This window comes from Homo sapiens, chromosome 2, assembly GCF_000001405.40.
Source record: "Homo sapiens chromosome 2, GRCh38.p14 Primary Assembly".
Taxonomy (NCBI): domain Eukaryota; kingdom Metazoa; phylum Chordata; class Mammalia; order Primates; family Hominidae; genus Homo; species Homo sapiens.
In genome coordinates, this window is record NC_000002.12 from 54,465,279 (window position 1) to 54,481,827 (window position 16,549).

The 16,549-nt window shown below is 39.1% G+C and overlaps 1 protein-coding gene across 11 annotated transcripts in view; it reads left to right on the forward strand.

The window, feature by feature from the left end:
• SPTBN1 (spectrin beta, non-erythrocytic 1) overlaps positions 1-16,549 on the forward strand; it is a 215,120-nt gene that overhangs the window by 8,952 nt on the left and 189,619 nt on the right. The window contains exon 1 of one of the 11 annotated variants that reach the window (XM_047445592.1): positions 1,680-1,796. The exons of the other annotated variants lie outside the window; for them this stretch is intronic. The gene's annotated coding sequence lies outside the window, so the exon portion shown is untranslated. Of the gene's footprint in view, positions 1-1,679; positions 1,797-16,549 lie in introns of those variants that run through there. 11 annotated transcript variants of the gene reach the window in all.

Consider the following 16,549-nt stretch of genomic DNA (forward strand, 5'->3'; position numbering starts at 1 on the left):
TTTGGTATTTCCAGTCTCCACACTTGAGTGCAGAGCAGTGGAATTCCATGACGTGCATGTTCTCACTCGTGGAAACCTAAACACTGCTACTGGAGCTAGTTTGTAACCATTAGACCATCAGGTTTCAGTGGAATTGGTCAGAAATGAAGGTAAAATTCCAAGTGAACATTTTAAAATAAAAATCACTTCAGATTTAGATTTACTTTCAGTGAATGGTATCTCAGCATCTGGGAATATTGTAGGCTAAGATTGAGAGGAACTAATTTTAATATTCTTCGTTTTTTGTATGAAAAGAAATTCCTGTGCAATGTTATATTTTTGTATATATACATATATGATGCATACATATCATGTTTATCTCATATATATATATATATATATATATATATATCTCACACATGGGAGAGAGAGGTGTGTGTTTGATTGAGTAATCTCTACCACGAAGGGAGGCACATATTTTAAAACATTTTAAATGGGGAATTTTATAGAGACAGTATTTTGAAAAGGAGTCCCATGAATGAGTCAAGTTGTCCTTAGCCAGTGGAGGAAATGTTTGGGAGGGAATAGTACTTTCTATTTTATGGTCCAAGTCTCTAAGTGTGTTGGTACTTTGTGAAATGTAGCTTATAAAAATTAATGAATTTCCATTAATTTTGTATTTTTTCTGCCATCAGCTTTAACTGAGTGGTTGTTTGAAGAAGCTTTCAGGATTAATTGTGCTTTGACATATAAAAATAAGATGTTATCAAGATTGCTTTAAAACTGACCCTTGTTTATAGGAGTCATACGTCCATTCTTAAGAAACTCTCAACTGTGACAGTAAACATCTGAGTGATTTTTAGAACCATTTTAATATCTCTGCTCTAGAATCGAGAATGCCCTGTTAGTTCTGATTTTTAATATACAAATTTGAAGCCACTAGTTAGGCAGTAAAATATGTATTAGAACATAACTATAGATTTTTACCCAATAGATCAATTAGTATGAAATTTAGGATGATATATAAGTACAACAGAATTTATTCCTTTGAGGTATGTATTTTCAAAGTGTAATTTGTGTAATTAAGTATGTTTATTCTTCGAGACCATCCTGGCTAACACGGTGAAACCCCGTCTCTACTAAAAATACAAAAAATTAGCCGGGCGTGGTAGCGGGCGCCTGTAGTCCCAGCTACTCGGGAGGCTGAGGCAGGAGAATGGCGTGAACCCGGGAGGCGAAGCTTGCAGTGAGCCGAGATCGCGCCACTGCACTCCAGCCTGGGCGACAGAGCGAGACTCCGTCTCAAAAAAAAAAAAAAAAAAAAAAAAAAAAAAAAAAAAAAAAAAAAAAGTATGTTTATTCTTAGAAAGTTCATGAGCCTATTAACATTGGTTATCTTGGGTAATGGAATTGCAGAAGATTTCATCTCTGTATATTTTTTTCTCCATATTTTTTAAGTTTTAGGAAATAACAAATTCTTGTTCTTTATCAAAAATATCCTAACACTTCTGACCAAACCTCATTTTAGCTGGATACAAACTAATCAAATAATTTACCAGCTAAATATACTTTCTGCTGTTCAATTTTTTTCTACCAAACTTACGGAAAAGCAGTATTAATAATGAAGATATAAAGAACACTGAAATTTTTGAAAGATCTTTTCATTCCTTGTTTAAATGTTCATTTTTGTTACAGCCTTGGCAGTTCATTACTTATGCAGAGTGTGGGAAAAGCTCTAAGAACTGGCCGAGAGAGCGCCTGACAGAAACATTGTCCAGGAGGAATCAGCCACTAATGGCCACTGCCTTTGGCTCTCGGTGAAGTTTCGTTTCCCTACAGTACTCTTGGGTGGCTGTTTCAGGGATACATTTTGTTCTAGTGTGTTTGCCTCAAGGCCAAATATAAATGTTGAAGGGCTGTACATTTTTCTGGAATGTTCTTCACCAGCTGTAAAGTCTTGGGCTGGGATAGGGATAGGGGATTTTTTTGGGGGTGGGGGGGCTTTTTTCTCTTTATCTTATTTACTTGAATGGGAAGGAAAACTTAGATTCTTCCTTAAAACAATGTTATTTATTTTGATCTGTGATGTTTAAACATTTTCCACGGCATTTTGAAACCTGTAAACATAGGAGTACTTTGTTGTTGCTGTTGTTGGAGACAAAGTCTTGCTCTTATCCCCCAGGCTGGAGTGCGATGGCGCGATCTCGGCTCACTGCAACCTCCGCCTCCCAGGTTCAAGCGATTCTCCTGCCTCAGCCTCCCGAGTAGCTGGCGCCTGCCACCATGCCCAGCTAATTTTTGTATTTTTAGTAGAGACGGGTTTCACCATGTTGGCCAGACTGGTCTCGAACTCCTGACCTCAAGTGATCCACCCTCCTTGGCCTCCCAAAATTCTGGGATTACAGGCGTGAGCCACCGCGCCTGGCCAGGAGTGTTTTTATAGTGATTACAATAGTTTTAAAAATTAAAATAGTCTTTGTATTTTTACCACCTTAGAATCCCTGATTTTTTTTTTTAAATTTCTGCTAATACACATAGTATATGTGGTTTTTTGAATGGCTTATGAAGACTATATACCATCATAAAGGCATAAGTTAGTATAAAATCATCATAACAAAATACAAAAGTATTTTTAAGATATCTTTTTATTACTGAAATAATAGATGTTTTAGATCATATGGAAACTAAAGATGAATACAAAGAAGAAAATTAAAATCACTAGATACTATGTGACCCCGGAAACATACAGTTAATATTTTAGTGTTTCTCGGCCAGGTGCGGTGGCTCACGCCTCTAATGCCAGCACTTTGGGAGGCCGAGGCGGGCAGATCATGAGGTCAGGAGTTTGAGACGAGCCTGGCCAACATAGTGAAACTTTGTCTCTACTAAAAATGCAAAAATTGGCTGGGTGTGGTGGTGGGCTTCTCTAGTCCCAGCTACTTGGGAGGCTGAGGCAGGAGAATCACTTGAACCCAGGAGGTGGAGGTTGCAGTGAGCTGAGACCGCACCATTGCGCTCCAGCCTGGGTGACAGAGTGAGACTCAGTCTCAAAAAAAATAAAATAAAAAAATAAAAAATAAAAAAATAAAAAAATATGTGTGTATATATATTTATTTATTTATTTTAGTGTTTCTCTTTTAAGCCTTTTTTTTCTGTGCATGTTTCTTCATCTCACACATACATATTAAGGGCCAATCCTCCAATCTTAAACTGAAGATGTAGAGTTTTGACAGTCTCTATAATGACATGATGATGTTCAGCACTCTTGCAGCTTATGCATGTTGCATGGCAAAACATAAAATCTAATGACTGGTCTATAGTTAAAGCTGTAGCATGAACACTATCTGTTGCCCTGAGCTGTTTTAGGGGTGGGATGTTAAAGAAAAATGGAAAGGAAGAAAGAATTCAAAAATTTGTTTATTATAGCTGTTTCTCTTTTATGAATAATGTCTTTTTACAATGGAAAAATACCAGAAATTAAATTCTCATTAGATAATGTGCTTTCTGTTTTGTTCTGAAGGGAATTCCCATCACAGTTGCATTAATTCCCCTGAGAGACATCTCCATATGCTTCGGACAACATCTGATTTTACTTTTGTGTTCTGATTTCAGAGTCTTTGAAATACCTATCCCATAATGTGTCGCAGTGGAATGGATGTGGTTATTATAATCTTGGTTTTAAGTGTAATAAATTTTACTGGGCTGGGTTTGGTTGTAACTGATGAAAGCATATACTAGAGCTCAGCTTTCTTGGGGTCTTTGTATTAGCTGGATTCTTTACAATTCTATCTTGGGATTTAGGATCTGTTTCAAGAAGAAAAAGCGTTATTTCTATTTGATTATGCAAGCCAGTTCTTTAAGCCTTTAGGACATCAGATGGATGGAGGTGACTTGCTGGCCTTTGTTGCCTTTAACTCTAGTATTCGGCTTCTTTCTGAGGAAGGTGCCAAAACGGCTTCCGTATCTGCTGAAGGAAAAGAGGGAGTGGGAAGAGGGGAGAAATATTTCATTGGAAGATAAAAAAAGCTCTTTCCAGCAATTTCCTTTAGAAACTTGGGGGTTGCTGTTAGTCTCATTTGGGTAATGGGCCCCAAGGAAAAGTGACAAATGGCCTTCTTCTGGGGTTTAAACACTAAAGGTCAGTGTTGGCCCTTTTCACAGTTAAGAGGGAAAAATCTGAGCTGGGCTGGGTGGACTTTCTCCAACTAAGGGATTCTTCTGAAACTCCTAACCTGATGGGAATCATTTTGTTTGCAGGTGGCCAAAGCCCATCAAGGGAAATGCTTGATGGTTACTGTGCCTGAGCTGCCTGAAGCCTGGTGTAGGAGTCTCAACTTGATCTTGAGGCAGCTGCAAATGTTAGGTCTTGACACTTGGGATGGCAACAAGACCAGGCAGTGCCCAGAGTGGTCCCAGCGGCCTAGGTTAGAGGAGGGTAGGGGGCTGGAATGTGGCCTTAGCCAGTCCTCTGAGCAGATGAGAATACCTGTCACTATTTCAGGAGATGAGTTGTGGTCAGAGATATCAGTCAGGTGACTTCTCTGAGAGGGGCCTGGTCCTTCTCACAGCAAGATTGACAAGTCTGTGCTGCCAGTTGTCCCTAAATACCCAATTTATCTCCTGGGGTGGAGTTGGGGAAGTGCCTCTAGCCTGGAGCAAAGAGATCTGCCTGCCATTTCGGAAGGAAAGAAACCAGCACACATCCTGTCTTTCATTCTCTGTTTCAAAGGTAGGTTTTTGTCTGTTTGCTTGTTTTTAAATCAACACCCAGGGCTAAAGGAAATCCCGAGTTTCCCTGATAATCAGGATGATTTCTTATTTTGAAAGGCCTATTTTGCCTTCGAAGTGTGTGTTTCTGACATAGGTTTCATCCTAGTTCTAGAAATCTTGCTTAATTCATAAAAGGTAAAAGTTTAATTAGAGAGAAGGCTGATGTATCGTCTTGTTTCAAAGGGAGACTATTCTTGTCTGTCATTTGAATTTTTTATATATATTTTTTCCGGCTGTGAAGAAATATTTTATTGGTACATGTGTACATGCATTTTTTATTCTTAATTATAGTATGTATTTTCACTGGACTACACTCTTGTTAAAGGAAACTTTGTTCACGTGAAATAAACCTATCTTTAGTGAGTCATACTTGAGAACTGCTTCTCAGTCTCCTCAACTTTTAAAGTCAGTGGTATTTCATGTAAAGAGTGTATCGGTAGCTGGCCTATCTCTGGAATGTTGTGCAGCTGTGCAGAGCGTGAGTCTCAAATGTGCTAATTAAATATGTTTTTTAGCAAGAATGGAATGTAGCAGCATTTGAATGGCTTCAAAAAACATTCCATTTTGTTTCTGAAGAGGGCTTTTTTCGTTTTTGCCAAATATTAAAAATTAGAGAGTACACTGACTTTTAGAGGATGTATTGCTATGTTAAATTGTTCTGTTCACCAGAACAGGGTGGCATGTGCCTGTAATCCTAGCTACTTGAGAGGCTGACGTGGGAGGATCTCTTGAGCCCAGGGCTTCAAGACTAGCCTGGGCAGAGTAGAAAGAACCTGTCTCAAACCCCACACTGTTCTTTTCGCAGAGTTAATGGGGCTCATTAAATACTGAGATTATCCTTTAGAACAATCTTGTCCAACCTACAGCCTTTGAATGTGGCCCAGCACAAATTTGTAAACTTTCTTAAAACATTATGAGATATTTTTTGTGATATTTATAGCTCATTAGCTATCATTAGTGTTTTACTTTATGTATAGCCCAAGACACTTCTTCTTCCAGTGTGGCCCAGGGAAGCCAAAAGATTAGACACCCCTGCTTTAGAATGTACTCAATTAATAATCTTCAAAATGTAGGGATTAGGTGGGGTGGCTCATGCCTGTAATCCCAGCACTTTTGGAGGCCAAGGTGGGAAAATTGCTTGAGCCTAGGAGTTTGAGACCAGCTTGGGCGACATGGTGAGACCTGGTCTCTACGAAAACAAACAAAAAGAACAGAATGTAGGCAGTGGTGGCATGAGTAAGGTTCTAAGGTTTACCATCTTTAGTTGATCTTGCTCATTTCCCTTGGTATCAGTTCTCCTTCCTTACTTGGTGAGTGCTTAACCTTTCTTTGGGCAGTAAGGCATGACATTTCTCCCCAGGTTGAGCAGTTTTCTGATACATATTTTTTGGCTGAGTGTGACTTGTATCTTTTTGGACTAAGCTCCATTCACTCAGATGGTGGTCTGATTTTTTTTTTTTTTTCAGTCAGGCATTGTGCAAAGTGACCTGATGGGAATAAATGGCAGGTTGGTTGTGTAATGCAGCAACATCTTACTTGGTTGTCTTTAGAGATAAGTGGGACGTGATTCCAGCAAGGCTGTGCATCAAATGTTGGAATGTGTTGGAGAACTGCCAAGAGGTTGGGAGCAAGCTGTGTGACAAGCACTAATGCAGCCTTGGCCTGCCTTAAAATAGCTGCAGGTTAACAAATATCTTGAAACTTGGCATTTCTTTTGAGCAAAATTGCTCCTCTGAATGTGTTACCAAGAGGTGCTTTCCTCTTTTTTATCGATTTTTTTTTTTTTTTTTTTGCTGTTCCAACTGTCTTAAAACATCTTATGAGCATATGAAGAAGATATAATTCTCTGTAACATCTTATGTTGAATGATTTTACTGGACTAATTATTAGCACATTATCTGAAACTTCACTTGTAGTTCTTCTGCTCTGCTCACCCAACTCACTGAAAAATATATAGTCTTTGTAGTTTGAATAAAAACTGGGGCCCTGAAGATGTTTTTTTTTTTTTTTTTTTTTTTGAGACTGAGTCTCGCTCTGTCGCCCAGGCCAGAGTGCAGTGGCGCGATCTTGGCTCACTGCAAGCTCCGCCTCCTGGGTTCACACCATTCTCCTGCCTCAGCCTCCTGAGTAGCTGGGACTACAGGCACCCACCACCACGCCCAGCTAATTTTTTGTATTTTTAGTAGAGACAGGGTTTCACCATGTTAGCCAGGATGGTCTCGATCTCTTGACCTCATAATCCGCCCGCCTGGACCTACCAAAGTGCTGGGATTACAGGCATGAGCCACTGCGCCCAGCCTGAAGATTTTTTTTAAAAGTCCTATATTTTATATGTTTGATAGGCTTTTGGAAAGGAATTATTGATGTTTGAACACTAACACATTAGAGAGGCAGAGTCAGAGGCATTGGTTACTTTGCTGTGGAATCTTGTCTTAGCTGATTCACTTTTAGACTTCTTAGTAAGCTCATTGGTAGTTTGTCTGCAGTACTTAGTTCTTGTTTGTAATTAATTCACTGTCTAACTGTAGTCTCTCAATTTTTTTCAATAGAAAGGCTTGTTTTTTAAGTCAGAGTGGTAAAAACAGGGGGGGTTGGGAGTGGTCTTTGAAATGGGTCCTGTACAGACTTGAGCCTGATGGTGATGTGATCAAGGTTGCAGGGGGTGTGGGTACCTGGGTGGGGCTGGGGCTGCCTGTGGGACTAATCTAAACAGCCAGTTAGTTTGGGTGCTCTGAATATGACATTTTTAAAAATGCAGTATTTGGGTTAATGATTGGAAGTAAACTAAGAATTTCCAGGATTTATATGTTAAATAGCAGATGAAAACAGTGAGTTACATGTTAAATAGTAGATGGAAACAGTGAGTTAACTTTATTTTGAGAGGCTTAAATACAAACCAAGTTTCTATACTAAAGGATTTCCTAAAAGATGATATTAACAGATATGTTAATTATCCCATAACTTAAAGTCCTTTAGACGTTTAGATTGAGACTAATTGTGATAATTTCATAGCTCTGTAGCGTATCCTGAAAATGGCTTTGTTTCTTTTGTTTCACTGTCTTCATATGTGTAAGTCTTGAATTTTGCTTTGTCACTTTCCGTATTTTACATGTATTTTAGAGGTCCTCTCCTTGTATAGAAACATTATTTCTGGTTTTATGTAAGTGCCTTATACAGAGATTTATAATTTGTAATTACTGTACTTTTTGGTCAATAGAATTGAGGTTATTTGGGGTATGTTTTTAGAATATGTTAAAAACCATATTTTGTGTTTTTATAACATAGAAAAATATTTCTTGGAAAATGCGTGTGTGGGCAGCTTCTTTTAGATGTATTGATCTTTTCACTTTCAGATGGCAAATGAATTCTATATGGCATTGTTGCCATGTTGGAAAATTTCTTTATTGAGCCTATGACTTCTAAAGTATCAAAATTCTGTTTTTGCTTTTCCCTTTTATTGGACATCTCCAGTTTTGTTTTTTTTTTAAGCACACACGCACACACATACACACACATCCTTGGATAACTGAACTGGTAAATTGTATTGAGGAGAGGTGAACTACAGGCCACCATTTCCTTTTTACTTAGCATACCATTATCTGGTCCCCTCATGTGAAAATATATTTTGGATAGTTTTCACCTCCCACCATCTATTAATTTAGAGTGTGCATTCCTTTAACCTTGCAGGAGAATTCAGTCATTCATTATACGATAAGCAGGCAAAAAGTTAAATACTCAAATGTTCCTTTTCTGGATTATTGTCTGAATTAGAAAAACATTCATTTTAAATTTTACACATGTATATGGGATGTTCTGTCTCCTCGTCTGTATGCCTTGTACTGGCACAAGCTTATAGGACTAGGAACAAATAAGCTTAGCATTTAAAATATTCCAGACATAAAAAATCTATGGAATTTGCTTATATCTACTGGGGGATGCAGTCAGACAGACCCAGGGTTTTAACTGGCTCCTTCTGCAGTGTGAAGGCAGACGGAAACATTGGAGTCTGCTGCAGATGGCAGCAGGGTGGACAGGTGAGGCCCACATGGAAGTTCATACCACTGGTAGGTGGAGTAATGAGTTGGTGTATGAAATGCTAGCCATTTTAGATGTTTCTACAGCTGTTGTTGGCTAGCTGAAAATAAATTGAACTTGTTGAACTGGTAAAAGTTTTGCTGTCTGAATAGGCTTAGATAAAATAGTGCTTCAGATGCCTATAAAGATGTCTATTGTAACATTACTATGATTTTTTTAAGTGGTGATAACCTAAAAGTCCATCATTGGTAAGTTACAGGGTGGACTATATATTCTGGAGGCAATACAGTGTGTAGTTAAAAGTGCTGACCGTGGAGCTGTGGTGCCTGGGTCTAAAACCTGATTTCACCATGGGCCCACTTTGTGACCCTGAGCAAGTCATTAACCCTTCTCGGTCTCAGTTTCCTCATCAGTAAGATCAGGATAATCATAGTACAGACCATATAGGGTTGGTTGGATTAAATAAGTTATAGGTAAAGCAGTTAGACTAGTGCCTGGAAATATGTAAGTATTATTTACTATATTAATAAAAACTTTAATATTATTATGGAATACCTTCTAATAACATGGGAAGGTTTTTAACATAGGGAGAAAAAGCAGAACACAAGATTATATAAATGGAATTACCGTAACTATGTAGAAAAATATACAAAAGGGATAAGGAAATACTACAAATATTAAGGTTTTTGGGGGAGGGGAGAATGGATGAGATTCCTTGTGATTTTTGCTTTTGTCTCAGAGCTGTTTTGTATTTTCTGCTGTTCTACAGTAAGCATATGTTACTTCTATAATTTGAAAAAGTAAACTTTGTTTTCAAAAGTGGATGTAGGCTGGGCGCAGTGGCTCATGCCTGTAATCCCAGCACTTTGGGAGGCTGAGGCGGGTAGATTGCCTTCAGGTCAGGAGTTCGAGACCAACCTGGCCACATGGTGAAAATACAAAAACACAAAAAATTATAAAAATACAAAATATAAAATTATAAAAATACAAAAAATTAGCCGGGCGTGGTGGCACATGCCTATAATCCCAGCTACTCAGGAGGCCGAGTCAGGAGAATCACTTGAGCCCGGGAGGCAGAGGTTGCAGTGAGCTGAGATCGCGCCACTGCACTCCAGCCTGGGTGACAAGAGCGAAACTCCGTCTCAAAAAAGAAAAAGAAAAGTGGATGTATCCCTTGCAAACGGTTAGTTTGTCAATTATAAGAACAGCTTATTCTTTAAAAGCTTAGGGCCTTCCGTTTGGCAACAGTTTGTCTCCTTTTGGTTCCATAATACTTCCACATTCTTACAGAAGCTAATGGGAAATGCTGGATTAAACCACATTATCTATGCTGTTATCTATGTTTAGAAACTTTTAATGATGACAGATATGCAGTCCCTTCTCTCTGTGGTCACATGGGAGAATCACTCTTGCCTGCTCCCCTTGCATTTTGGTGGCATGTTGGACTAGTTCTGAGGAATGGCCTGTGTCCAGACTGCAGCCAGAGTCCTTGAGTGAGAATGGTAGAGCCTCCTGCTACCATGTGACAGGCACGTAACATGAGTGGGAAACATGCTTCTGTGAGTTTGAGCCACAGAACGGCATTCTTACAGAGTGCCTTGGAGTAATGAAACTCAAAACTATTTTTTAAATTCATCATTTAGTATTTTCCACTAATTCAGACTCATTGTTTAGTGAAAAGAATACAGCCATCGGTAAGGCACATGACTGTTATTAACAGTATGAATTTAGACAAATTATGTAATAGAGTTTTAGTTTTCTTGTGTCAAAGGCCTCACCTCCACAAACTACAAACAAAACTTTTGATGCTTCAAATTAGTCCATACCAGAGTGTTTAGTTTTAATTCACTGCTCTTTAGTGCTTGAAATGAGATTCTTTAGACCAAAGTGGCCTTAAAGGTTCATTCTTGTTGTATGCTTATTCCACATTTCTCTATATATTTATTTTGTCACTTCTGGTCACTATATATAGGTTTATTTAAGAAAAATTCCCTTCCATAGTTTATCAGGCAGGTTAGGCTGGTGCTGCAGTAACAAAGATCTCCAGAATCTCGGTGGCTCAAACTCACAGATGCGTATTTTCCACTCATGTTACTTGTCCGTCACATGGTGGCAGGGTGCTCTGTGCCATCCTCACTCAAGGACGGTGGACTGATGGGCTAGATGCAGGCCATTGATCAGAATAATCAAATGCCCCGCCCAAATGCTAGGGTAGCAGGTAAGAGTAATCCTCCCATGTAGCCACAAAAAGAAGAGACTGGGTATGTGTGATCATTAAAAGTTTCTAACTAAACATAGATAACAGAGTAGGTAATATGGTCGAATCCAGCATTTCCCATCAGCTTCTTTGAAGCACCAGTTTTGCAGTATGTTCACATGTACTGTTGATAAAGGGCATCTCCTGGTCAAGTAAATCTGGAGAATGCTGGGCTTAATAACATGTACTAGGCCTCTTTAGTGAAGGTCGTCTCCGAGCTGTTGTATCCTAACAGGCATTCTGGAGGTGGAGAGTAACATACGATGTTTCCCAAACTTACCTGACCTTTGAATTATTTTCTTACTTTTCATAGCCTCTCTCGGATGCAGGTTTTGTTGAACATGCTTTGGGATACCCTAATTTGTCTAACTTGTTCTCATACAAAGCAAGTATTTGGAATTGCATTTTAATTAATACTTGCATTGGGAAGAAGCTTTGTTTTTATTGTTTGTTAAAAGAGTTGACTATTTGAAGAGAGATTTTTTCTATTGCAAATCAAATTGCAGGCAGTGTTTTTAAAAATTAGTTATTACTGGTTACATGCCTGTGTTGAATCCATAGGACTTTTTCTTCATTTAGTTGCCTTTGTGTTCTAAACTTACCATTGAAAAGAGAAAGGTAAATAAACTTTGACCACATATCTTAGTGGTTATAAAAAAATTAAATTGGTTTGGACAGATGGTCCAAACACACCGAGTTTTTTTTTTATTGGCTTCAGTGTTTTTCTTGGTTCTCTTTGACTTTCTGTAACAAGTTTTCTAGAAGTTTTGAAATGAGATACTACTGAAATGAGGGCTCTGATAAGAAACAGAGAGATAACTTTTGTCAAGAGGTATTAAATATTTCTCTACCAGAAGACTTTGGATTTAAACACAACATTTGTTGCCAGGGATTTTATGCCTGCGTATGTAACAAATCTTAGTATGGAAGTTTTCACTTAAAATGGCTGTAAACTTCATGTAATAAACTTTAGGTAAGAAGGAGCAGCCTCCCCAACCCCCGTTTTGTAACTGTACATGGGTAAAACTTGATAAAGACTAAACTCTCTAACTCCCCAGACTTTCGGATTTGTGGCATTACCTTTTTTTTTTTTTTTAATTAATTAATTCACTTTCTATTAGAAATCATGTTAAATCCAGGCCAAGAATTCTTTTTTCATTTTCTGTTTTGTTTGCTTTTTTCCTTTGTGAGTAAACAGGTGCGAAGGACAATTGCTGTTTTATGACAGGAAACACACTTTTAAAGCTGTCAGTTACCTCACAGCCCCACCCTACCCTTTTCCTGCTGCCATTACGATTAAGACTGACTGGTAGGCTGGGCGCGGTGGCTCATGCCTGTAATCCCAGCACTTTGGGAGGCTGAGGTGGGCGGAGCACGAGGTCAGGAGTTCGAGACCAGCCTGGCTAATATGGTGAAACCCCGTCTCTACTAAAAATGCAAAAATTAGCTGGCATGGTGGCGGGTGCCCGTTATCCCAGCTACTCAGGAGGCTGAGGCAGGAGAATTGCTTGAACCTGGGAGGCGGAGGTTGCAGTGAGCCAAGATCATGCCGCTGCATTCCAGCCTGGGTGACAGAGTAAGAGTCCATCTCAAAAAAAAAAAGACTGGTAGTAGACTTTGCTTTTTAAAGGTGACTTGGGAGGATTTGAGGCAGAGAAAACCTTCTTCAGAGCCACAGTTCCCAGTCTTATCCTTTTTGTTGATACCAGTATTGTGGAAAAAGCATTCATGACCCATCACAAAAACATACATTAAGAAAACATTTTTCACATGGTCTGAGGCTGACAGGAATCAGGCTTAATGTATCCAGGGATATGACAAACATGGGAACCTGCACCAGTTGCCACAGAGCTGTCCGATCCTGGTCCCAGGGCCCTTGTCTGTGGCAGGTCTTCCCCGGGGAAGAGATTTCACTCTCTTATGAGAACGCTCGTGTTTCATGCCCTCAGATGCTTGTGTCAGGTTCCAGTGATGGTAGCCTTGGAGTAAGTCTGCCTTTGAGAGAGGATTGTTTTTTTTCCTCACTCTTCAAGGACCTGTAGTGGGTCCCCTGATGGGCCACCCTCTGGACCTGGTCAAATGTTGGGGAGTTTCGTGGAAGAGCAGTGTTTTCACATTACAGGGTGCAGCTCACAGTCAGAAAGATTGTAGAGGATCATAGAATTGGAAGTTTTGGGTCTGGGCCGAACCCTGTAGATCTTAGTACATCCACATGATTGTATCAAAGAAGAGTCCAGAGCTCCGAGAGGCTAGGTGCAATCACACAGCTTCACACAAGAGTAAGGGCTGAAACTATTGCTGTTAACAGATATGTGGAAGTACTTGGTGTCCTTGCAACTATTTCCAGTGTGCTGAACCTTGAAAGGCATCTTACTTCTGCTAATTGGAACCACTTGGGATGCATTTTAAAATTATATAAATGAAGTAAGCCTACAAGTTTATGCTCATGTTTACTGTTTTCATGTTGTCAAACTGTTAATAGCATGAATGGTTAAACATTTGCTGGGAAAATAGAAAGTGTTCTGAAAATACACAATACCAGAGATAAAAAAAGATGTATGTACGTATATGTGAGTGTGTGTGTATATATATGTGTATATATATATATGTTTTATTACTAGGGAAAGGAGGAAAGCCCATTGTGTATGGAACTAAAAGCCAGAACCTACTGCATGTCCACCTTTGTTTTAATAAAAATAACAAACAACTGAGTGTCCTGGCTGCCTGGCCAGGCTGAAGGAAAGTAAAGGTTGTTTTAAAATAGAAAAAGATCTGGTTAAATATTTGACCAGATACTTTGATTAAGTTGAAATGTTTAAACATTTTCAGGCCCAGGGATGTCAGTGAAGGCTGACTGCAGAGTCTTCTCTGCCTGCAGATGACTTGTGTTGTGTATAGCAATGATTTAAAGGCAAATAAAGTATAGTTATAGAAAACATGACCCTTACCAACCGCCTCCCCCCCAAGTTGGTTTGTAACCATGTAAGAAATCTAAGGTATGATTGGTAAAATTAAATAAATAAATCCCATTGTTCCAGTCCTCTTCTGTGGAAGGTAGGACTTGGGAGGGAGTATTTTACAGTGGTTAGGTTCTGTTTCTTGGAGCCACACTGCCTGGTTGGAACCCTGCCTCTGCTGGTTACTGACTGTGGTCTTTGGTAGGTGAACACATAATTTATTATCCAAACTAGGTAATTTATGAGAATGAAAGGAGACACTTTTAATAGTTGTACCAGTACAGCAGGCATAAACTAGGAAGGTCTGAGGCAAACCAGATAACATGGTCACTCTAGTCTTAACGAAGTTACCTAATCTTGGTGTCTTGGTTTCTTCACATTGTGGAAGGGACATGACTCACTTCCTAGGGTGTTAAGATTAAATGCAATAAAACATGTAAAGTTTTGCAATGTTGTTTGGCACATAGCTATTCAATAGTTGTAGCTATTTAAAAAATTATTTAGGGTACTTAATTCATGTAATAACCATTTAAGTATTCAGTTCGCTTTCTATTATCTTTATATTATTTCTCCCAAGCAAATTTTGCTTTTTTTTTTTCCAAGAGGCAAGGTCTCACTGTGTTGCCCAGGCTGGCCTCTAACTCCTGCGCTCAAGTGATCTTCCTGCTTCAGCCTTCCAAGCAAACTTTGCTTTTAATAACATTAATATTTACTAATGGCTTATTCCATTTATGGCACCTGCTCAAACTTAATTGCTTGCTTTATCTGAGCCCTTTCCTCAGATAAAGGCTCAGAAAGTAAAATTGACTTTTACTTTTTCAGCTACGTGTATATGTGGCACTTAATTATATAATTAGCACCTGTGGCCCAGAGATGGGTGCTGGGTATTGGGACACTCATTTATCAGGTTGTGTGTAATTAGCATCTACACTGGAAAGCACCTTTTGAACAGCTGGCGCTGAGATACAGAATGGTTGGGAGGTTGAGTGGGTGGGGAGTGGCAAAGCCCAACCTCTTCTGCCTCTTTTAAAAGTTGGATTTTTCCCAGAGTAGTGATATGCAGGGTTGCCAGATTTAGGAAAAACAAAATCAAACAAAAAAGAAGCCAGAATGCCTGGTTAAATTTTAATTTCAGATGAACAACACATCGTTTTTTAGTGTAAGTTTGTCTTATGCAGTATTTGAGACATACTTATCCTAAAAATTCATTGTTTATCTGAAATTCAGCTTTAACTTGATGTCCAGTATTTATCTAGCAATCCTAGTTTTGTAATCCGAAAGAATTTTTATTCTATTCAGTATAACCCACATTCAGATGTATATGAAACATGTAGTCCAGATCCTTTTATAAGTATTGTGTTAATTTTTTAAAAAATCCATGTTGTCTACCCTCCATTGGAATGGATGGTTGAGAAGTCATCACTGAGTTGCTGCTGCTGGTTCCCACAAAGGCCAAGATGAAAAAGAATTCAGTCTGGTTTGCCACAGCAGCAGGGATTTACATTTGCTCTTTGAGAACTTATTGGCTGTGAATGTGGATGAACTTAAGCCAGCTCTTCTTCCTTGCAGGGGAGTCCATTAGTTAAGGTGACTTATTGAAGCCCTGGCCAGCTCTAGGAGTTCTCGGTTTTATAATTGAATTACTTTAGTAATATTAAATAATTTGGGGAGGGGGTTAATTTTGGGTCATTTATATTTCACTTGTCAATGTAGAGGGAGCTACTTTTATTGTCATTAAGAGTGACATTCATCCTGGTGCCATGGTGAGCACCTGTGGTCTTAGCTACTTGGGAAGCTGAGGTGGGAGGATCACTTGAGCCCAGGAGTTTGAGGCCAGCCTGGCAACAAACAAAATCCACATCTCTAAGTAATAATGATGATGATGATAATAAAATCCTAGAAATGAAGAACAGGTTTGGAAAAAAAAAAAAGTAACCTTCAGATACTCTTCCCATTAGAATCTCTCTTGCTGTTTTTGATTTTCAGCAGTGCTGCCCAGAAAGTGCTGGTGAGCTTTTTGCCCCAGCTTTGGAACTCTATCAGCAGTCAACCCTGAAGGGCATGGCATGCCTTTGGGAAATGCTGATTGGAAGATTAGAGGCTGCAGAAACCTGAGTGTGTGTGTGTGTGTGTGTGTGTGTGTGTGTGTGTGTGTGTGTGTGTGTTTTGTTTTGTTTGTTTGTTTGTTTGTTTTCCAAACTCTGGATATGATGCCTCTGTTAAACCAAGTCCCTGAGGAAAAGCTTCACCAGATTAATGATACACTTGGTGAAATTAGTAATGGCAAGTAAAGGTTGAGATTTGTGCCTGCTGGACAAGAGTGAGCCAGAGCAAATGGATTTTGGACCAATACCGGCTTTTTAATTGCTGCCATTTAAAGAGTTTAATGTCCCCAGTGAAAAAGCACAGGTTTCAGATAATCTTTTGAAGAAAAATGCATAGTGGTAAGAGCTTACTGTTAGGCGCAGAGAGTGTGTGGATGGGTTAGCCAAGGGAAGGAATCCAATTAAAGCTGTTTGTTCGGAGTACTAGATTTGGAGGTGTGTTTTAT